At 36.8% G+C, this 24,551-nt stretch overlaps 1 protein-coding gene and 1 long non-coding RNA gene across 5 annotated transcripts in view, besides 2 other annotated features; one reads left to right on the top strand and one right to left on the bottom strand.

Moving 5' to 3' along the window:
* Window positions 1-24,551, top strand: part of SEM1 (SEM1 26S proteasome subunit) — a 228,221-nt gene that overhangs the window by 121,581 nt on the left and 82,089 nt on the right. The window lies entirely within an intron of this gene.
* Window positions 235-23,743, bottom strand: LOC107986825 (uncharacterized). The gene is made up of 3 exons (XR_001745289.2): window positions 23,420-23,743; window positions 1,884-1,994; window positions 235-594 (listed from the first exon to the last, which is right to left on the bottom strand). It is a non-coding gene; the product is annotated as an uncharacterized LOC107986825 (long non-coding RNA).
* Window positions 2,332-2,831: an enhancer, noted in NCBI's record as "H3K4me1 hESC enhancer chr7:96214747-96215246 (GRCh37/hg19 assembly coordinates)". NCBI's record gives its function as "activates a minimal SCP1, AML or CMV promoter by ChIP-STARR-seq in primed H9 embryonic stem cells {active_cell/tissue: H9 hESC(primed)}" and the evidence as "EXISTENCE:reporter gene assay evidence [ECO:0000049][PMID:30033119]".
* Window positions 2,832-3,333: an enhancer, noted in NCBI's record as "H3K4me1 hESC enhancer chr7:96214245-96214746 (GRCh37/hg19 assembly coordinates)". NCBI's record gives its function as "activates a minimal SCP1, AML or CMV promoter by ChIP-STARR-seq in primed H9 embryonic stem cells {active_cell/tissue: H9 hESC(primed)}" and the evidence as "EXISTENCE:reporter gene assay evidence [ECO:0000049][PMID:30033119]".

Below are 24,551 nucleotides of genomic sequence, written 5' to 3'. Positions count from 1 at the left end.
AGCTACTATAGCCTCCCAAGTAGCTGAGACTACAGGCATGCACCACGACACCTGGCTAATTTTTAAATTTTTTGTCTCACTATTGCCCAGGCTGGTCTCAAAGTCCTGGGCTCAAGCGATCCTTCCACCTCGGCCTCCAAAAGTTCTGGGATTATAGGCCTGAGCCATCTGACCCAGCCACCTTTCTTCTTAGTTGGCTTGATGAGGTGTAAGGCAATGAAAACTACTCCTTTTAGGTGCTCTAAGGGGTGAACAATGGGCCTATAACATATAATACTTCGTTGTTAACATGACAAAGTATAGGTACCAGGTCTATTGGTACAAAGTTTTTCTGAACTCATTTCATCTAGCTTTCTACAGTGTTCAATAGTATGTGTTAAATATCTCTTCAGTGTCTGTGGGAAGATGTCAAATTTATTGAACAAGGTTATAATATGTGAGTATATTACATCTATGTACGTATGTATGTGTACACGTGTATTCTAATATTTAAAAATATGTTATTTTACCATAAACTATCCTACTCTCTAATGTTATCAGCATCAGTAAAATCACCTATCAGTTGCTTTAGAAGAGTTCAGAATGTCCATTTTCCTGGGGAAAAAAAAAAAACAAGAAAGTCTTAATCGTAATGCAGTAGGAAAAAATAGGCAAAAAAGTTCAAGATGCCCTGTGAGAACAGATCTGTCACCTGGCTGTGCACCAACCGGAAGCAAGGCACACACTCACTGCTTGCTGAGGTTATCTGAAGTGGAAAACTGGGGAAATATTCCCAACATGGGGGAGAAAGAGAGCAAGAAATGAAAAGAAAGAACAGCTCAAAGCAGATAGTGGAATGCAGGGGTGGTAATGGGTCAGAAGAACTGACAGCGCAAAATCAAGACTGCTCCAAGGAAGAGAACAGAAGCCTTTTTCAGAATAGAGGGAGAAAGTTATTTTTCTGAGATCTATGGAAATTAGTGCCCAAAATATGAAAGATGCCATGGAGAAAAAGAAGGTTCTGTGATCAAATATACTTGAGAAATACAAATACTATAATCTTGGAGATTTACAATGCATACCTAAACATTACCATTTCTGAGAGCTCCTATTTTTAAAAAAATCTCTTTAATCTTGTTAATAAATGTATTCATGTTTAATATTGGTGTTCTCACACTTATTTGACTATGATATTGTTTTTTTAAGACCACCTGGTAACATTCCCAATTGTATGAGTGGATGAAGCTGTGGACTCTTGTGTTTTGTGGTTAGCGGTTGTTCGGAAACCTGAATATGGATAATATCAACACCTCAGTGGTACCTGAAGACATCCATAATGCACTTGTAATGGGCAGTATAGCAAAGTGATTAAAAACAGGAGCTTTGAATTGGGTAATCCCTGGGCTCAAATCTCAGGTATTCTACCTGCCTTGCCAAAGTCCCTGACTTCTTTATGCCTCTATTTCCTCATCTGTCAAAAAGAGGGAAAAAATAAAGATAACAGGACCTATTTCATTAGTTTTTGGGAGGTATCAGATGAGATATTTCCTGTAAAACACATAACATTCTGCCCAGCACATGGGAAACAAAAAACCTAAAGAATCCAGCCTCAAATCTCCTCTTCTGTGAATTCTCTAGGAAGAGTTTTTATCTGGCTACTAAAGTGGTTTTTGGAGAATAGAGATTAAATGAATACCACATCTCTGACCAAGGCAACATGATGTCTGGAACTATGGTCAAATGTAAGTATGATCTTACCAGACCCAGTGTGGATTGAGAGGATTCTGTGAGATTACATGTGTAAAGAACTTTGTAGTCTAATGGCTAGCAGCAGTTATGGCTATTTCATTGTAGGAGGGAACGAACTGACAGGTAATATAAATAGGGTGAGTTGGGACTCTTACCCATTTTCACACATTTTCAATATCTTCTTTGCTGGGACATGTACAGCCTCTGGGATTTGTGTCTGTGAGCTCAGGCAGGAAGAATCCTTCCTACCACTGGCAGCTGGAATTCTGTAGGAAAGAAGGAAAAATCTCAGAGAGGTGGTAAACTCTTGTAATGGAGACCAGAAAGCCAAGCATACACTGTATTTTTCCTTGAGTCAGTGAAAAATTCCCATCTTCTTCCTTTTTAAAATTGAGAATTGGACAGACATGGTGGCTCATTCCTGTAATCCCAGCACTTTGGGAGGCCAAGGCGAGAGGATCACTTGAGCCCAGGAGTTCAAGACTAGCCTGGGCAACATAGCAAGACCTCATCTCTACAAATACTTTTTTAAAACTGAAATAATTTTAAAAATTGAAAGGTGAGTAATAGGAACAGCTCCGGTCTACAGCTCCCAGCATGAGTGATGCAGAAGACGGGTGATTTCTGCATTTCCATCTGAGGTACAGGGTTCATCTCACTAGGGAGTGCCAGACAGTGGGCGCAGGTCAGTGGGTGCGCGCACCGTGTGCAAGCCGAAGCAGGGCGAGGCATTGCCTCACTCGGGAAGCGCAAGGGGTCAGGGAGTTCCCTTTCCTAGTCAAAGAAAGGGGTGACAGACAGCACCTGGAAAATCGGGTCACTCCCACCCGAATACTGCACTTTTCCGACGGGCTTAAAAAACAGCGCATCAGGAGATTATATCCCGCACCTGGCTCGGAGGGTCCTAAGCCCATGTAGTCTCGCTGATTGCTAGCACAGCAGTCTGAGATCAAACTGCAAGGCAGCAGCGAGGCTGGGGGAGGGGCGCCCGCCATTGCCCAGGCTTGCTTAGGTAAACAAAGCAGCTGGCAAGTTCCAACTGGGTGGAGCCCACCACAGCTGAAGGAGGCCTGCCTGCCTCTGTAGGCTCCACCTCTGGGGGCAGGGCACAGACAAACAAAAAGACAGCAGTAACCTCTGCAGACTTAAATGTCCCTGTCTGACAGCTTTAAAGAGAGCAGTGGTTCTCCCAGCACGAAGCTGGGATCTGAGAACAGGCAGACTGCCTCCTCAATGGGTCCCTGACCCCTGACCCCTGAGCAGCCTAACTGGGAGGCACCCCCCAGCAGGGGCAGACTGACACCTCACACGGCAGGGTATTCCAACAGACCTGCAGCTGAGGGTCCTGTCTGTTAGAAGGAAAACTAACAAACAGAAAGGATATCCACACCAAAAAACCCATCTGTACATCACCATCATCAAAGACCAAAAGTAGATAAAACCACAAAGATGGGGAAAAAACAGAGCAGAAAAACTGGAAACTCTAAAAAGCAGAGCGCCTCTCCTTCTCCAAAGGAACGCAGTTCCTCACCAGCAATGGAACAAAGCTGGATGGAGAATGACTTTGACGAGCTGAGAGAAGAAGGCTTCAGACGATCAAATTACTCCGAGCTACAGGAGGACATTCAAACCAAAGGAAAAGAAGTTGAAAACTTTGAAAAAAATTTAGAAGAATGTATAACTAGAATAATCAATACAGAGAAGTGCTTAAAGGAGCTGATGGAGCTGAAAACCAAGGCTCGAGAACTATGTGAAGAATGCAGAAGCCTCAGGAGCCAATGCGGTCAACTGGAAGAAAGGGTATCACCGATGGAAGATGAAATGAATGAAATGAAGCGAGAAGGGAAGTTTAGAGAAAAAAGAATAAAAAGAAACGAGCAAAGCCTCCAAGAAATATGGGACTATGTGAAAAGACCAAATCTAGGTCTGATTGGTGTACCTGAAAGTGACGGGGAGAATGGAACCAAGTTGGAAAACACTCTGCAGGATATCATCCAGGAGAACTTCCCCAATCTAGCAAGGCAGGCCAACGTTCAGATTCAGGAAATAGAGAGAATGCCACAAAGATACTCCTCGAGAAGAGCAACTCCAAGACACATAATTGTCAGATTCACCAAAGTTGAAATGAAGGAAAAAATGTTAAGGGCAGCCAGAGAGAAAGGTCGGGTTACCCTCAAAGGGAAGCCCATCAGACTAACAGCAGATCTCTCGACAGAAACTTTACAGGCCAGAAGAGAGTGGGGGCCAATATTCAACATTCTTAAAGAAAAGAATTTTCAACCCAGAATTTCATATCCAGCCAAACTAAGCTTCATAAATGAAGGAGAAATAAAATACTTTACAGACAAGCAAATGCTGACAGATTTTGTCACCACCAGGCCTACCCAAAAAGAGCTCCTGAAGGAAGCACTAAACATGGAAAGGAACAACTGGTACCAGCCACTGCAAAATCATGCCAAAATGTAAAGGCCATCGAGACTAGGAAGAAACTGCATCAACTAACGAGCAAAATAACCAGCTAACATAATGACTGGATCAAATTCACACATAACAATATTAACTTTAAATGTAAATGGACTAAATGCTCCAATTAAAAGACACAGACTGGCAAACTGGATAAAGAGTCAAGACCCATCAGTGTGCTGTATTCAGGAAACCCATCTCACGTGCAGAGACACATAGGCTCAAAATAAAAGGATGGAGGAAGATCTACCAAGCAAATGGAAAACAAGAAAAGGCAGGGGTTGCAATCCTAGTCTCGGATAAAACAGACTTTAAACCAACAAAGATCAAAAAAGACAAAGAAGGCCATTACATAATGGTAAAGGGATCAATTCAACAAGAAGAGCTAACCATCCTAAATATATATGCACCCAATACAGGAGCACCCAGATTCATAAAGCAAGTCCTGAGTGACCTACAAAGAGACTTAAACTCCCACACGTTAATAATGGGAGACTTTAACACACCACTGTCAACATTAGACAGATCAACAAGACAGAAAGTCAACAAGGATACCCAGGAATTGAACTCAGCTCTGCACCAAGTGGACCTAATAGACATCTACAGAACTCTCCACCCCAAATCAACAGAATATACATTTTTTTCAGCACCACACCACACCTATTCCAAAATTGACCACATACTTGGAAGTAAAGCTCTCCTCAGCAAATGTAAAAGAACAGAAATTATAACAAACTATCTCTCAGACCACAGTGCAATCAAACTATAACTCAGGATTAAGAAACTCACTCAAAACCGCTCAACTACATGGAAACTGAACAACCTGCTCCTGAATGACTACTGGATACATAACGAAATGAAGGCAGAAATAAAGATGTTCTTTGAAACCAACGAGAACAAAGACACAACATACCAGAATCTCTGGGACGCATTCAAAGCAGTGTGTAGAGGGAAATTTATAGCACTAAATGCCCACAAGAGAAAGCAGGAAAGATCCAAATTGACACCCTAACATCACAATTAAAGGAACTAGAAAAGCAAGAGCAAACACATTCAAAAGATAGCAGAAGGCAAGAAATAACTAAAATCAGAGCAGAACTGAAGGGAATAGAGACACAAAAAACCCTTCAAAAAATTAATGAATCCAGGAGCTGGTTTTTTGAAAGGATCAACAAAATTGATAGATCGCTAGCAAGACTAATAAAGAAGAAAAGAGAGAAGAATCAAATAGACGCAATAAAAAATGATAAAGGGGATATCACCACCGATCCCACAGAAATATAAACTACCATAAGATAATACTACAAACACCTCTACGCAAATAAACTAGAAAATCTGGAAGAAATGGATAAATTTCTGGACACATGCACTCTCCCAAGACTAAACCAGGAAGAAGTTGAATCTCTGAATAGACCAATAACAGGAGCTGAAATTGTGGCAATAATCAATAGCTTACCAACCAAAAAGAGTCTAGGACCAGACAGATTCACAGCCGAATTCTACCAGAGGTACAAGGAGGAACTGGTACCATTCCTTCTGAAACTATTCCAATCAATAGAAAAAGAGGGAATCCTCCCTAACTCATTTTATGAGGCCAGCATCATCCTGATACCAAAGCCGGGCAGAGACACAACCAAAAAAGAGAATTTTAGACCAATATCCTTGATGAACATTGATGCAGAAATCCTCAATAAAATACTGGCAAACAGAATCCAGCAGCACATCAAAAAGCTTATCCACCATGATCAAGTGGGCTTCATCCCTGGGATGCAAGGCTGGTTCAATATACGCAAATCAATAAATGTAATCCAGCATATAAACAGAACCAAAGACAAAAACCACATGATTATCTCAATAGATGCAGAAAAGGCCTTTGACAAAATTCAACAACCCTTCATGCAAAAAACTCTCAATAAATTAGGTATTGATGGGACGTATTTCAAAATAATAAGAGCTATCTATGACAAACCCACAGCCAATATCATACTGAATGGGCAAAAACTGGAAGCATTCCCTTTGAAAACTGGCACAAGACAGGGATGCCCTCTCTCACCACTCCTATTCAACATAGTGTTGGAAGTTCTGGCCAGGGCAATTAGGCAGGAGAAGGAAATAAAGGGTATTCAAAGAGGAAAAGAGGAAGTCACATTGTCCCTGTTTGCAGATGACACGATTGTGTATCTAGAAAACCCCATTGTCTCAGCCCAAAATCTCCTTAAGCTGATAAGCAACTTCAGCAAAGTCTCAGGATACAAAATCAATGTACAAAAATCACAAGCATTCTTATACACCAACAACAGACAAACAGAGAGCCAAATCATGAGTGAACTCCCATTCACAGTTGCTTCAAAGAGAATAAAATACCTAGGAATCCAACTTACAAGGGCTGTGAAAGACCTCTTCAAGGAGAACTACAAACCACTGCTCAAGGAAATAAAAGAGGATAGAAAGAAATGGAAGAACATTCCATGCTCATGGGTAGGAAGAATCAATATCATGAAAATGGCCATACTGCCCAAGGTAATTTACAGATTCAATGTCATCCCCATCAAGCTACCAATGACTTTCTTCACAGAATTGGAAAAAACTACTTTAAAGTTCATATGGAACCAAAAAAGAGCCCGCATCGCCAAGTCAATCCTAAAACAAAAGAACAAAGCTGGAGGCATCACACTACCTGACTTCAAACTATACTACAAGGCTACAGTCACCAAAACAGCATGGTACTGGTACCAAAACAGAGATAAAGATCAATGGAACAGGACAGAGCCCTCAGAAATAACGCCGCATATCTGCAACTATCTGATCTTTGACAAACCTGAGAAAAACAAGCAATGGGGAAAGGATTCCCTATTTAATAAATGGTGCTGGGAAAACTGGCTAGCTGTATGTAGAAAGCTGAAACTGGATCCCTTCCTTACACCTTATACAAAAATCAATTCAAGACGGATTAAAGACTTAAAACGTTAGACCTAAAACCATAAAAACCCTAGAAGAAAACCTACGCATTACCATTCAGGACATAGGCATGGGCAAGGACTTCATGTCTACAACACCAAAAGCAATGGCAACAAAAGACAAAATTGACAAATGAGATCTAATTAAACTAAAGAGCTTCTGCACAGCAAAAGAAACTACCATCAGAGTGAACAGGCAACCTACAAAATGGGAGAAAATTTTTGCAACCTACTCATCTGACAAAGGGCTAATATCCAGAATCTACAATGAACTCAAACAAATTTATGAGAAAAAACAAACAACCCCATCAAAAAGTGGGCGAAGGACATGAACAGACACTTCTCAAAAGAAGACATTTATGCAGCCAAAAAACACATGAAAAAATGCTCACCATCACTGGCCATCAGAGAAATGCAAATCAAAACCACAATGAGATACCATCTCACACCAGTTAGAATGGCAATCATTAAAAAGTCAGGAAACAACAAGTGCTGGAGAGGATGTGGAGAAATAGGAACACTTTTACACTGTTGGTGGGACTGTAAACTAGTTCAACCATTGTGGAAGTCAGTGTGGCATTTCCTCAGGGATCTAGAACTGGAAATACCATTTGACCCAGCCATCCCATTACTGGGTATAGACCCAAAGGACTATAAATCATGCTGCTATAAAGACACATGCACATGTATGTTTATTGCGGCATTATTCACCATAGCAAAGACTTGGAACCAACCCAAATGTCCAACAATGATAGACTGGATTAAGAAAATGTGGCACATATACACCATGGAATACTATGCAGCCATAAAAAATGATGAGTTCATGTCCTTTGTAGGGACATGGATGAAATTGGAAATCATCATTCTCAGTAAACTATCACAAGAACAAAAAACCAAACACCGCATATTCTCACTCATAGGTGGGAATTGAACAACGAGAACACACGGACACAGGAAGGGGAACATCACACTCTGGGGACTGTTGTGGGGTGGGGGGAGGGGGGAGGGATAGCATTGGGAGATATACCTAATGCTAGATGACGAGTTAGTGGGTGCAGCGCACCAGCATGGCACATGTATACATATGTAACTAACCTGCACATTGTGCACATGTACCCTAAAACTTAAAGTATAATAATAATAAATAAATAAATTAAAAAAATTGAAAGGTGAGGAAATAGGTTTTAAATTTTTTAAAATTTAGTAATAATTATAGATCCATAAGAAGTTGCAGAGATAATACAGAGGTCCTATGCACCCTTCACCAATTTCCCCTATTGCTTACATCTTAGGTGGCTATAGCTCAATATCAAAATCATATTGGTATAAAGGGTGTATATAGTTCTAATTTATTTAATCACATGTGTAGTTTCACCAGCAAAATTAAGATACAAAATGAAACACTTTATTTTAGCTGTTTTACTCTTTTCAAGAGGCAGTCTTATAAAAAGAGTTCACATTACTATGAATATTAGTTTTAGTAATTATACTTCAATTTTCACAACTGGAGGCAGGGTTTTGACATCATAATTCAGGATTTTTGTAAGATTCTGAACATCTCTTCTATTGCTGCAATGTGCTTCTCCTTTCCTCTTTGTAAATCTGGTCATCATATGTAGATACTTTAGGAAGTAGCTTTACATTCTAATTCAGTTCTTCTCCTCTGTCATCATTTATGATTGCATTGGAGGAAATGTATGTGTTTTACAAAAGGCAAAATGTGCTGAAGAAAGAACCAAATGGTGAAACAGATCCCATTTAGAAAGCCATAAACAAGCTTACAGCAGTAAGTGGTGACATGAATAAATTGCTTTTGCAGGAAAATTCAGACTTAATATCATTACTAAGCTACAGCTGAAAGGCATAACTATATTTCAAATGGTAGTAATGACTGGCACCATTGGATTAGAAATGATTTCATGATGGCATCATAATGATTTATTTTCTTTTAAAGAGAGAAACTTGGAATCTCATCATGGTAGTTAGAAAAATAAAAATTCAATGATGATATAACTGTACTGTATTCTTTGCCAGGTTTTCCTCTGGTCTTTAATACAAATATGTCAAGATTTAAGAGACGAATTCTCACAGTTTTAGTGTGGTTACAGTTCCTAGTTTCTCATAAGGCATAATTGTGACATTCATAGTTCAACAAAATGTTGAACTTCCTAGATCTGCAGGCTGGTGACTGCTATTGTAACCAATAATTGTATCCATAAAATGAATTCTTCACAATAAATAGAGAACAAAGCTTTGTTGAAATTGAGAGGCTGGGTGGGCATCTGTACTCACTAACTATACTAGCAAAGGGTCTGGCTCTGGCACCCAGCCTAGCATTAATTAGCAGCATTTTGCTGAGTGTGTTTCATAAAATAGGATTGTCTCAGAAGATGCTTTCTATGAAAAGAATTCTGTTTTTTACACTACAACAAAGACATTATTGCTGTTAATACAGATTTTCCCATATCTTTACCAATGTCTTGTCTTAGCATTCTCCCTTACATCTTAGTTCTTTTAGGGATCATTTTTTCTTTGCTTTGACATTCTTCTCTTAGAATTTTTTGTTTTTTAAGAAAATAGATCTTTTAGTTTGTTAGAAATGTGCTAATTTCACATTGGAAGATGTTTCACTGGCTATACAACTCTAGGTTGACAGTTATTTTCTCTTAGCATTTTGAAGATATTATCCCATCTTCTGATGGTCTCAATCAAATTGTCATTTGTTTTAAGTTACCTAGTGTTTTTGTTTTTTTTCCTCTATCACCTTTTAAGAATCTCTCTTTTCTTTGGCAATCTGCAGTTTCATTGCGTATCTAAATGTCTTTTTTTTTTTCCTTTATCTTATTTGTCTCTTATCAGGACACTGAATCTAAAGGTTTGTGTTTTTATTTTTTCTGCAAAATTCTCAATGTCATTTTGAATTGTGTCTTTCCCCAATTCTATTATCCTCCTCAGGAAATTTGATTAGAGATTTGTTAGACTTAGCCTCCATGTTCACTGATTTTATTCTGTCCAATCAGCTGTTAAAGTCTAATCTACTGTTTAGTCCATTGAGTTTCTAATTATTTTTACAAGTTCTTTGGTTCATTTTTTATTTAGCCTGGTCATTTTTCATAGTCTTTTACTTCTTAATAATACTTAAAGAGTCTCTTATTTCCTTAAGCAAATTAAACATACCTATTTTATATCCTGCATATAGTAATTTCTACTCCTATAATCTTAGTGGGTCTAACATGTATTGGTGGTGTTTTTTTTTTCCTTTCATTCTATTGACTCTTGCTCATGGTGGTTTATTTCCTCACTTAATATGATAGTTTAAATTTTGATCTCACATTCCTTGGAATTTGGGCTGTGGAATTTTTTTGAAGCTCAAGTTTAAAGTGTTTTTCCTTAGATATGATTTATTTTTGCTTCTATCAGTCACCTAGGAGCACTACATAACCAGAACCAGTTCAAATTAAATCCTGAGCTCTGGGTTTTCCAAGGGCATTGAATTCTTTGAAATCCATCCCCAAATCCATGTAAAGGCTTCTTTGTGGTTTTGAATTCTCAGGGAAACATTTTCCCAAACCCATCCACCAAGAGCCAAGTTTAAGATAGCAAACATCTGTTTTATATTTCTCTCTGCTGGGTGTTTTGTTATTTAATCAATACATTATGAATTATAAATAATTTTATAATAAATAATTTTATAATTAATCGTAACATTTTTACCTTTTCACCCAAAGAGTCACTTTGCAAGGTTTTTGGTTCATACAGGAATCTCTGGTCCAAACCTTCTTCTTTGAGCAGGCTTTGCCTTCTTTGATCCTCTAAACAGATATGGTCCATTAAGGCCCAAGCTCTAGGCCACCAGCAGATGTTGGATGCTCTCAAAGCAGCTTCCAGTGACAGTACTTTGTTTACTCTATGTGGCCATACCTTCTCATGGTTAGGGCTCCATTTCTTGCCAGCTCAGTTATTTACTTAAAGATCAAATATTGTATCCATTTTTTTTTTTTTGACAGAGTTTTGCTCTTGTTGCCCAGGTTGGAGTGCAGTGGTGCAATCTCAGCTCACTGCAACCTCTGACTCCTGGGTTCAATCGATCCTCCTGCCTCAGCCTCCCGAGTAGCTGGGATTACAGGCACATGCCACCACGCCTGGCTAATTTTGTATTTTTAGTAGAAACGGGGTTTCACCATGTTGGTCAGGCTGGTCTCAAACTCCTGACCTCTGGTGATCCACCCGCCTCGGCCTCCGAAAGTGCTGGGACTACAGGCATAAGTGACCACGCCCAGCCTGTATCCATCATTTCTAATTGTTCTATATTAGGAAGGTTTTTGTGATGGCTTCTTTGCCGTATTACCTAGAACAGAATTCAGAATTGCATTTAAACATAGAAAGAAAACTACCTCAGGAACAAAGGACAATAAAATAGCCAAGTAAATTGAATGATGGAATTGAGGAAAGAGAGGTAGAGGCAAGTTCATAGTATGAACAATAAATATGTATTTATTGTTCATAGTAGAAGGCAAGATATGTATTTAAAATGAAATTAAACATATGTGAAATTATAAAGGTAAGCATTGTAAACCATAAAAAAGATGATACACCTTTCAAATTATTAGGAGGAAAATGCATGCAAAAAAGCAAAGTAAAGTGAACACAGACAGAGCCTAAAAGACAAAAGAATACATAAGTTTAAGAAAATACTTCCAAATAAACAAAGCACAGTAAACCAGACAATGTAATAAAACATAAAAGTCAAGGGTAACTAAATGTCAGAATTAAGATATGATGGCAGAATGAAAATACACAATAAAGATAAATCTTATGGACTCACCTAGGAAAATACTTTTAGAATAAGTCACAAATAAAAATTCAACTTTCAGCAGAACTGAATAAATGCTTCTAAAACAAAGTGTCTCAGATGGTTGAAAGGAAAAAGATAAATACACTGTAGCATGCCTATGAAAACACAAAATTATGTAGGGGCTATAATATCAGACAAGATTGAATTCACAGCAAAGAAATATTACATAAAACTAAGAAGGCATTGTATAATGACAAATGCTGTAATTCACAGGAAGGTACAATAATCATAAATACTTATCTACTAAATAGCATAGCATAAAGATTCCTAAGGTAAAACTTTAACATATACAAAGATAAATGGATACACAGAATATAATAATAGATGTACATGTGTCGTCTTCTTCAAGTAGATCAAAATAAGTAAAAAGGGTTATTTCCTTTTTTGGTGAGTTATTTGAGTTCCTTGTAGATTCTGGATATTAACCATTTGTCAGATGCATAGTTTGCAAATATTTTTTTCTCATTCTATAGGTTGTCTGTTTAGTCTGTTGACTGTTACAGAATGGCTATTATTAAAAAGTCAAAGTGGGCAGAGCCCACCGCAGCGCCACAAAGCCGCTGTAGCCAGACTGCTTCTCTGGATTCCTCCTCTCTGGGCAGGGCAACTCTGAAAGAAAGGCAGCACCCCCAGTCAGGGGCTTATAGATAAAACTCCCATCTCCCTGGGACAGAGCACCTGGGGGAAGGGGTGGCTGTGGGCGCAGCTTCAGCAGACGTAAATGTTCCTGCCTGCTGTCTATAAACAGAGCAGTGGATCTCCCAGCATAGCACCTGAGCTCTGCTAAGGGACAGACTCTCTCCTCAAGTGGGTCCCTGACCCCCATGCCTCCTGTCTGGGAGACACCTCCCAGCAGGGGTCAACAGACACCTCATAGAGGAGAGCTCTGGCTGGCATCTGGCAGGTGACCCTCTGGGACAAAGCCTCCAGAGGAAGGAACAGGGAGCAATCTTTGCTGTTCTGCAGCCTCCATTGGTGATACCCAGGAAAACAGGGTCTGGAGTGGACCTCCAGCAAACTTCAGCAGACCTACAGCAGAGGGGCCTGACTGTTAGAAGGAAAACTAACAAATAGAAAGCAATAGCATCAACATCAACAAAGAGGACATCCACACAGAAACCTCACTTGAAGGTCACCAACATCAAAGACCAAAGGTAGATAAATCCACAAAGATGAGGAAAAACCAGTGCAAAAAGGCTGAAAATTCCAAAAACCAGAACAACTCTTCTCCACCAAAGGATCACAAGTCCTCGCCAGCAAGGGAACAAAACTGGAGGGAGAATGAGTTTGCCAAATTGACAGAAATAGGCTTCAGAAAGTACGTAATAACAAACTCCTCCAAGCTAAAGAAGCACGTTCTAACCCAACGCAAAGAAGCTAAGAACCTTGAAAAAAGGTTAGAGGAATTGCTAACTAGAATAACCAGTTTAGAGAACACTATAAATGACATGATGGAACTGCAAAACACAGCACGAGAACTTCATGAAGCATACATAAATATCAATAGCTGGATCAATCAAGAGGAACAAAGGATATCAGAGATTGAAGATCAACTCAATGAAATAAAGCATGAAGACAAGATTAGAGAAAAAAGAATGAAAAGGAATGAATAAAGCCTCCAAGAAATATGGGACCATGTGCGATCATTAAAAAGTCAGGAAACAACAGTAGCTGGAGAGGATGTGGAGAAATAGGAACACTTTTACACTGTTAGTGGGACTGTAAACTAGTTCAACCATTGTGGAAGACAGTGTGGCGATTCCTCAAAGATCTACAACTAGAAATACCATTTGACCCAGTGATCCCATTACTGGGTATATACCCAAAGGATTATAAATCATGCTGCTATAAAGATACATGCACACGTATGTTTATTGCGGCACTATTCACAATAGCAAAGTCTTGGAACCAACCCAGATGTCCATCAGTGATAGACTGGATTAAGAAAATGTGGCACATATACACCATGGAATACTATGCAGCCATAAAAAATGATGAGTTCATGTCCTTTGTAGGGATATGGATGAAGCTGGAAACCATCATTCTCAGCAAACTATCACAAGGACAAAAAACCAAACACCACATGTTCTCACTCATAGCTGGGAATTGAACAATGAGAACACATGGACACAGGAAGGGGAACATCACACACTGGGGCCTGTTGTGGGGTGGGAGGAGCGGGGAGGGATATCATTAGGAGATATACCTAATGTAAATGATGAGTTAACGGGTGCAGCACACCAACATGGCACATGTATACATATGTAACAAACCTACACATTGTGCGCATGTACTCTAGAACTTAAAGTATAATAAAAAATATTAAAAAAAAAAATGGGACCATGTGAAAAGACCAAACCTACGTTTGATTGGTGTACTTGAAAGTGACGGGGAGAATGGAACCAAGTTGGAAAACACTCTTCAGGATATTATCCAAGAGAATTTAGCAAGACAGACCAACATTCAAATTCAGGAAATACAGAGAACACCACAAAGATACTCAAGAAGAGCAACCCCAAGACACATAATCATCAGATTCACCAAGGTTGAAACGAAGGAAAAAATGTTAAGGGCAGCCAGAGAGAAAGGTCGGATTACCCACAAAGGGAAGCCCATCAGACTAACAGCAGATCTCCCCACAGAAACCCTAAAAGGTAGAAGAGAGGGGGGCCAATATTCAACATTCTTAAAGAAAAGAATTTTCAACCCAGAATCTCAAATCCAGCCAAACTAAGTTTCATAAGTGAAGGAGAAATAAAATCCTTTACAGACAAGCAAATGCTGAGAGATTTTGTCACCACTAGGCCTGCCTTACAAGAGCTCCTGAAGGAAGCACTAAATATGGAAAGGAACAACCGGTACCAGCCACTGCAAAAACATCACCACTATGAAGAAACTGCATCAAGTAATGGGCAAAATAACCAGCTAGCATCATAATGACAGGATCAAATTCACACTTAACAATATTAACCTTAAATGTAAATGGGCTAAATGCCCCAATTAAAAGACACAGACTGGCAAATGGGATAGAGTCGAGACCCATCAGTGTGCTATATTCAGGAGACACATGTCATGTGCAAAGGCACATATAGGCTCAAAATAAAGGGACAGAGGAATATTTACCAAGCAAATGGAAAGAAAAAAAAAAAAAAACAGGGGTTGCAATCCTAGTCTCTGATGAAACAGACTTTAAACCAACAAAGATCAAAAAAGACAAAGACAGGCATTACATAATGGTAAAGGGATCAATGCAACAAGAAGAGCTAACTATCCTAAATATATATGCACCCTATACAGGAGCACCCAGATTCATAAAGCATGTTCTTAGAGACCTACAAAGAGACTTAGACTCTCACAAAATAATAGTGGGAGACTTTAACACCCTACTGTCAATATTAGACAGATCAATGAGACAGAAAATTAACAAGGATATTCAGGACTTGAACTCAACTCTGGACCAAGCGGACCTAATAGACATCTGCAGAACTCTCCAACCCAAATCAACAGAGTATACATTCTTCTCAGCACCACGTGGCACTTATTCTAAAAATGACCACATAATTGGAAGTAAAACACTTCTCAGCAAATGCAAAATAATGGAAATCATAACAAACAGTCTCTCAGACCACAGTGCAATCAAATTAGAACTCAGATAAAGAAACTCACTCAAAACCGCACAACTACATGAAAACTGAACAACCTGCTCCTGAATGACTACTGGGTAAATAATGAAATGAAGGCAGAAATAAATAAGTTCTTTGAAACCAATGAGAACAAAGGCACAACATACCAGAATCTCTGGGACACAGCTAAAGCAGTGTTTAGGGGGAAATTTATAGCGCTAGATGCCAACAGGAGAAAGCAGGAAAGATCTAAAAATTGTCACCCTAACATCACGATTAAAGGAACTAGAGAAGCAAGAGCAAACACATTCAAAAGCTAGCAGAAGACAAGAAATAACTAAGATCAGAGCAGAACTGAAGAAGATAGAGACATGAAAAGCCCTTCAAAAAATCAATGAATCCAGAAGCTGGTTTTTTGAAAAGATTAACACAACAGATAGATGGTTAGCCAGACTAATGAAGAAAAGAGAGAAGAATCAAATAGACACAATAAAAAATGATGAAGAGGATATCACCACCGATCCCACAGAAATACAAACTACCATCAGAGAATACTATAAACACCTCTATGCAAGTAAACTAGAAAATTTAGAAGAAATGGATAAATTCCTGTACATGTACACTCTCCCAAGACTAAACCAGGAAGAAGTCAAATCCCTCAATAGACCAATAACAAGTTCTGAAATTGAGGCAGTAATTAATAGCCTACCAACCAAAAAAAGCCCAGGACCAGACGGATTCACAGCCCAGTTCTAAAAGAGAAGCTGGTACCATTCCTTCTGAAACTATTCCCAACAATAGAAAAAGAGGGACTCCTCCCTAGCTCATTTTATGAGGCCAGCATCATCCTGATACCAAAACCTGGCACAGACACAACAAAAAAAGAAAATTTCAGGCCAATATACCTGATGAACATTGATTTGAAAATCCTCAATAAAATATTGGCAAACCGAATCCAGCAGCACATCAAAAAGCTTATCCAGCATGATTAGGTTGGCTTCATCCCTGAGATGCATACATACATATGTATGTATATATATATGTATATATGTGCGTATATATGTATATATATACATATATATACACACACACAGAACAGATGCCTCAGAAATCATGCCACACATCTACAACCATCTCATCTTTGACAAACCTGACAAAAACAAACAATGGGGAAAGGATTCCCTATTTAATAAATGGCATTATGAAAACTGGCTAGCCGTCTGCAGAAAACTGAAACTGGAACCCTTCCATACACATTATACAAAAATTAACTCAAGATGGATTAAAGACTTAAATGTATGACCTAAAACTATAAAAACCCTAGAAGAAAACCTAGGCAATACCATTCAGGACATAGGCATCAGCAAAGACTTCATGACTAAAACACCAAAAGCATGGCAACAAAAGCCAAAATTGACAAATGGGATCTAATTAAACTAAAGAGTTTCTGCACAGCAGAAGAAACTATCATCATAGTGAAAAGGCAGCCTACAGAATGGGAGAAAATTTTTGCAATCTATCCATCTGACAAAGGGCTAATATCCAAAATCTACAAGGAACTTAAACAAATTTACAAGAAAATAACAACCCCATCAAAAAGTGGGCAAACAATATGAACAGCCACTTCTCAGAAGAAGACATTTATACAGCCAACAAACATACGAAAAAAAAAAAAAGCTCATCATCACTGGTCATTAGAGAAATGCAAATCAAAACCACAGTAAGATACCATCTCATGCCAGTTAGAATGACGATCATTAAAAAGTTAGGAAACAACAGATGCCGGAGAGGATGTGGAGAAATGGGAACACTTTTACACTGTTGGTGGGAGTGTAAATTAGTTCAACCATTGTGGAAGACAGTGTAGCGATTCCTCAAGGATCTAGAACCAGAAATACCGTTCGACCCAACCATCCCATTACTGGGTATATACCCAAAGGATTATAAATCATTCTACTATAAAGACACATGCACACATATGTTTATCGTTTATCGCGGCACTGTTCACAATAGCAAAGACTTGGAACCAACCCAAATGCCCATCAACGATAGACTGGATAAAGAAAATGTGGCACATATATACCATGGAATACTATGTAGCCATAAAAAGGATGAGTTTATGTCCTTTGCAGGGACATGAATGAAGCTGGAAGCCATCATTTTCAGCAAACTAACACAGGAACAGAAAACCAAACACCACGTGTTCTCACTCGTAAGTGGGAGTTGAACAATGAGAACACATGGACACAGGGAGGGGAACATCATACACCGTGGCCTGTCAGGGGGTGGGGGGCTAGGGGAGAGATAGCATTAGGAGGAATACCTAATTTAGAGGACGGGTTGATGGGTGCAGCAGACCACCATGGCACATGTATACCTATGTAACAAACCTGCACATTCTACACATGTATCCCAGAACTTAAAGTATTAAAAAAAAAAAAGTCAAAAAATGCAGATGCTGGCAAGTATGCAGAGAAAAGGAAATGCTTATACTCTCTTGGTGGGAATGCAGATTAGTACAGTCTTTATGGAAAATAGTATGAAGGTTTCTCAAAGAACTAAACATAGAACTACTATTCAATTCAGCAATCCCACTACTGGGTATATACCCAAAAGGAAGTAAATCGTTATCAAAAAGGTACCTGCACTCGTATTTCTAGCACAGCACTATTTATAATAGCAAAGAATCAACCTAAGTTTCCATCAACGATAATTAGATAAAGGAAATGTGGCATACATATACCATGAAACACTACCGAGCCATAAAAAAGAATCATGTCTTTTGCAGCAACATGAATGGAACTACAGGCCATTATCTTAAGTGAAAGAACTCAGAAACAAAGTCAAAACCTCATGTTCTAACTTGTAAGTAGAAGTTAAACAAAGGATAAACATGGACATCTAGAGTGGAATAATGGGCACTGGAGACTAAAAAAAGATGCAGAAGGTGAAGGTTGAAAAATTACCTATTGGTCATAATGTCCACTGTTCAGGTGATGACTACGCTAAAAACAGACTTTGCCATTAGGCAATACATACATGTAAGAAATCTGCACTTGTACCCCCTGTATCTATAAGAATAAAAATATATTTTAAAAAAGAAAAGTGAAAATATAAAATATTTAAAAATTAAGAGTAGATATTATTGATATAAATTACACACCATACAGGGATTATACCTTCTTTTTAAACACACATAGACTTTTTGGGGAAAAGTATTTTACTTCAGAATGAAAAATGATCAGCTTCCACACCATTCACTGCAAAGTACACAGTATTCACAAATACAATGCTGGTTATTTGAGGAAATGTAGTCACACCTCAATTTCTCCTTCACGGTTTTTCTTTTCAAAAGATCTGTTTACCAAGAAGAAACAGTACAGGAAAAATTACTTTTTCAATAAACTTACAAAAATCTAAAATTTCCAAAGGAATCAAGACTGACTTCCCACTACCACCACCTTAATATCATCACATCCTTATTGGGATGCTAATATTCACATCCAAAGCATACATTTACTTTCAACAACGGGGTCGCATCTTAAAAAAACTGGATCTTTGCAAGTATTCAGTGTCTGAAATAGACAGCTAATACTGGATTTAATATTATTTTATAAAAATACTCTCCTTAGCAGTAAATGTAGGTCTGCACATTCACAATAGTCCTAGAAAATAAATACTGTAATTACTTACAATATGTTATGACAAACTAGTTTCAAGAAACAAAAGTTTAACATCTTGCTAAAAATTCTGATCAGAATAAAATGAATACACATAGAACTTCTTAAGGAATGAACATTTATTAGGAGATAAAAATCGTAATGCACTTCAAAACACAAGTTTTGTTTTATTTATTTTATCCACAGTAAAATAAAATTAGTGATAAATACCTAAATTATAAAAAATTTTTAAATGTTAGGAGCTAAATGAAGATTTTAATCTCTTTTACAACACTGTCAGGTGAGAGAAGAAATCCAAACAACATACTAAAAACAATATATACTGAAACCTGAAGGAGGCAAAAAAGGTGATCAGAGGAAAAATCAAATTTCAAAGAAAAACTGTCAAATAAGAAGGAACAAGAACAAATTAAACATTCAAAATAAGAAATTGTCATCACCAATAAAATAAACTTGAGGAAATCAGAATGAAGAAACTAGTAAATAAAGTGTGAAATTCCTAAATAGCTACAAAAAAGAGTGAAATGAATGAATTTTAAAAATTGCGCTTTTTAAAAGGTTAATTAGATAGGTAAACCATTAACATAAGTTTTTAAATGGCAAGAGATGGAGAAAGCGAAAATATTTAAAATGAGAAATTAAGTTGAGAACCTTAGTGCAGATATTTAAAATGTGTCTTTGCTTATCTTCATGCATATGGATTTTAAAAATCTAAAAAAAATGGTTGACATTTCTAGAAACTTAAATCACCAAAAGTGACTTCAAAAGGGATAGAAAATCTAGGGCATTTCAGAGAAATTATAAAAGTTGTTCAAAAGTTGCAGGCATCAGGCCCAGATTATATTACACCTGAAGCCTACCCAAAATGTCAACGCAATGTTCAGAAAATTTCAATGCTATTGAAATGATTCTAGCAGAGATCGAAGAAAAACTTTTATTTTTTGTATGTACCCATCAAAATAATTATATCAAAACTTGACAGGATACTAAATGTGTGTGTGTGTGAGTGTGTGTGTGTATGTGTGTGCATGTGTGTGTGTATGTGTGTGTATCAGTCATTTTGTGAATATTGATCCAAAATAATATATTAGCCAACAGAATCCAACATTGCTTTAAAAGAATACATCATAACCAAGACAAAAAATTAAGATTATTAGAAAAATTACTAATATAATTTATGTTTCTATTATATCAGAAGAGAAAATTTATATTATTATGCTCAGAAAGGGTATGAAGGTATTTAAGTTCAAAATCCATTGTTGGTTTTAAAAGACTCTTGATAAAAAAATAATAAATAGATATTTTTAATATCCATCTAATTGACAGCCAAAACCTGCATTGTGCTGAGTGGTGAAACTACTCAAAATATTTTCAACAGGAGAAAGACAATGATGTCCACCATTACAATGATTACTTCTCATTGCTTTAGAGGTTATAAATGTGGAATTGGAAAGGAAAAAAAATACAAAGGTTTGAAGAGATGACACAGAATTATCATTATTTACATATATGATTAAATTTTACAGCTGGAAAACACCACAAACAATAAAATAACATTAATGCAAACAAACCAATTATTTTCCTATGTATAAGTGAAAGTTACATTAAAATATAAAGGGATAAAGGTAGTATTTGTCATAGGAACAAAATGATAAAATGTAATACGAGTAAATTTAAGAAATGTTCAAGACATATATAAAGGGACTTTAAAAGAATGAAGGATAAAACAAGAATTGAAGAAATATAATGATATACCTTTTATTGGATAAGAAGACTCAATATTTTGAAGGCAGCAAATCTCTCTGTATTTACCTATACATTAATTTTATTCCAATGAAATTACTTCACAGATAATTTTTAGAGTAGGGAGCAATTTAGAAACACATAAATTTCTGACGTGACATTAGTTCTACAAGGTACTAAATGCTATATTAATTAAAACACACTTTTACTGGCACATAGAAACAAAACACAATAGACCAAAGGAAGAGTTGAGATGTATACCAAAATCCTCATGGTAATGTGGCTTGTTATCAAAGAAGTATTTCAAAACCATGCCCAAACAAATTTACTTAATAACTAGTCATGAACAATTGCCTAGTCTTCTGGAAAAATAATGAATTAATTCTTACTTCAGATGGATTTATACCAAGATGAAATCAAATATCAGAGATTTAATCACTACAAAAGGAAATTCTAAAAGTACTGAAAGAAATTATGTGAGAATTTAAAAATTAATCTTGTAATGAGAGAAGCCTTTCTAAGCATGGCACAAAGCTTAGAAGCCATAAAAGGTGATAAATTTGCCTACATAAAAATTAAACATTGTCTGCATAGCAATAGAATACTATAAATTCAATGGCATTGACAAAGCAGGAAGAATATTTGTAATATGCTATATATAATAAAGGGCTATCTTTCTTATTATATGAAGAGTTCTTATGAATCAATTAGAAAAAATATTTTAAAACCAGTAAGGAAATGGGAGGATGACATGAGCAGGCAGTTTATAGAAAAATAAGTTCAAACAACTTATAATGAATTAAAGTTCAATTAAATGAAATGAAGATATTTTCAGCCTTGTCAACCATTAAATAAATGTTTATTAAAATAACATAATATGTAATTTAAACCTATCAGATTGACATACTAAAACATGCCTGTATGATTGTATTTGCACATTATCTCTCCAGGGTGAATAATCTCAGATGTTAACAGTATTTGCCTCTCTGTAAGGTAACCAGGGAACAAGGATGAGATGAGCATGTACTTTTTACGGCATATTATACTGTATGTTTAACTTTTTAAACTATGTGTGTATCACTTTTATAGAATAAAATAATATTTTAAAATATAAATTGAAGCCAGAAAAATTAAATAGATTAATTAATGTCACACAACAAACTGCAGATGTTTCATTAAAGCCTAGGACTGTATGATTTGGACTAAAGTGCTATATGATTTGGACAAAAGTGCTATATGATTTGGACAAAAAGTATATTGTTGACATTAATTTGCATTATTCTTTCTAAGCTTTTATCAGAGAATCCAACATGACAAGGATAATGTGTACATGAGCTATCTTGTGAAGAAGATCTGTGGGAACACTTGTTGAGAGGTTGATATTTTTATTCTCTGCACTGTTTTCTATTTTTGTATTTTACTAATAGAGATAGGAAGCAACTTGTGACACCTTTGTTTTTAACAAGCATCTCTGACAGAGCTAGGGTTTTAAAAAGTCTTCTTTTTAAAGCTTTTTAAAGCCTTTTTTCATCAGTAAAATTAGTGCTGTGTGTGTGAATAAGTGTGTGTAATCATTACTCAAGCTTCAGACTATTAAATTACAAAACCTGAATTGAGGGTAAGAGTATATTTTGTTCTATTTAGTTGCAGTGAACTAAGGGACTCAAGGAATTTATCTCTGGAACATAAAAAACACCTCTGTTGAAGCTGAACCAGAGAATTTACTTTTTTCTTCTTTTTCTTCTTCTTTTTTCAAATCACAGAATCCACTTACTAAAATTGTGCCTCACAGAGCATTGACCTTTAGACTATAATGGCTGCCTCCGGGCCATTACAACTTATAGTGCAATACCTTCTAATCTTCCAACCTACAAGTAAAGGTTATGAAGTTTTAGAGCACAAAGTACCTAACTCTTTGCTTGTAAATTCACTTTCTCCACCAAAATCCAAAACAATTAGCCTATTTGGGGGACTTTTAGTATATGGAATGACATTTTTTAAAAACCAAATTTATCTTTGAGTAGAAAAGGGGATTTTAAAAAGGTATAATATTCTAGGATAATGGTTTGACTAAAACCCTAAAGGCCACCAGATAAGACCTCCTGCTCTGATGAGGATTCCTGGATTGTTCTCTGAGTTTATAGGGAGAGGAATGGAGGACTAGGTTTTGTTTGGTGTAATCTATCTTTCTCTGTGAAAATGCACATCAAAATTTAAGTAAGTAGTGAGAATATCACTAATTTTTTTCTTCTGCTTATGTTTTCTAAAGTTTAAGTCAACAAACATATATTAATTACATTTAAAGTTTAAATGCAACTTTTTGTAAAATTTGGAAAATACAAACACAATAAGGATGAAAAATAGACTTACCATATAAGTTTTCTTGGTTTTCTATCAATATTTTCTGTATAACATATATAAGCGCCTAAGTACTTTAAAAACTCTCAATAGCAGAGCCATCAAAAGGGTGTAAGATTTTTCTCTCATGTTAAAATCCAGACGTAGGGTGTCCAAGACTAGATAGTGGATCTGTTACATAAAGTACTTAGGAAATTGGGTCCCTTCCACCTTTTGGTTCCTCTATGCATGATCCATTCTCACTTAATGATCCAAGAAAGAAGCCCCAGCCATCACATTCACTTTCTAGCCGGCACGGTCAAGGAAAGGGAAAAAAGAACGTGGCTCTTCCTTTTAACAAGTAAACATACCACTTCCACTTACTTGCTAATCTCCAGAACCTGGTCACATGACTACACATCCTTTTGCAATGAGAGCTGGGAAATAATTTTTATTTTTTTTTTGGATGGCATCACCAACTAAAAATCCCATCTTACGTTTTCAGCTTGCTAAATCCCATTGCTCCTATTAGTGGTGCACATTCTCATACTACTGTTAACATGGGAGGTGTATTTTTGAGATTTTCTCTTTGTTCTACCCTGATTTATAAAATCGTAAGATGAAGATCAGCCTTAAGATAAAGACTTATAAATAATGAGAAAAATTTTTAGAAGAATGTAAATCATCAAAATCGACTCAAAATGAAATAGAATATAATAAATAACTTCTAATAAGTTTAATTTATCATTGTCTATTTATCACCAACTTTCCTATGTTCAAGAAAAGACATTCAGCCCAAACAGGTAAACTCTCTGATTTTAAATAATGTCTATTTTATATATACTGTCTCAGACACTAGAAAAAGAGGACTGGCACTCCACTCACTGCATGAGGCTAATAAAACCTGTATGCCAGAACTTGTGAAAGAGCATAACAAAGTAAAATCAGATTTGGAAAGCAGTTATGAATCTAACTGAAGCTTATAAGATGTCAGAAAAAATGTGAATTTTTTACTGAATTTATAGGCTAATCTGGGTGGATTTCTCTTTATATACAAGAAGGTGAGTATTAACAGTTTGAATTTTTGTTTGAAGTTTTTTCTCTTTCCATTTTTCCTTCTCCATTGTTTTGGGAGTTAAACATTCTATATCTATTCATTTAATGG

The sequence above is a fragment of the Homo sapiens genome, chromosome 7 (genome assembly GCF_000001405.40).
Source record: "Homo sapiens chromosome 7, GRCh38.p14 Primary Assembly".
Lineage (NCBI taxonomy): Eukaryota > Metazoa > Chordata > Mammalia > Primates > Hominidae > Homo > Homo sapiens.
This window is presented reverse-complemented; position numbering and strand designations above follow the sequence as displayed.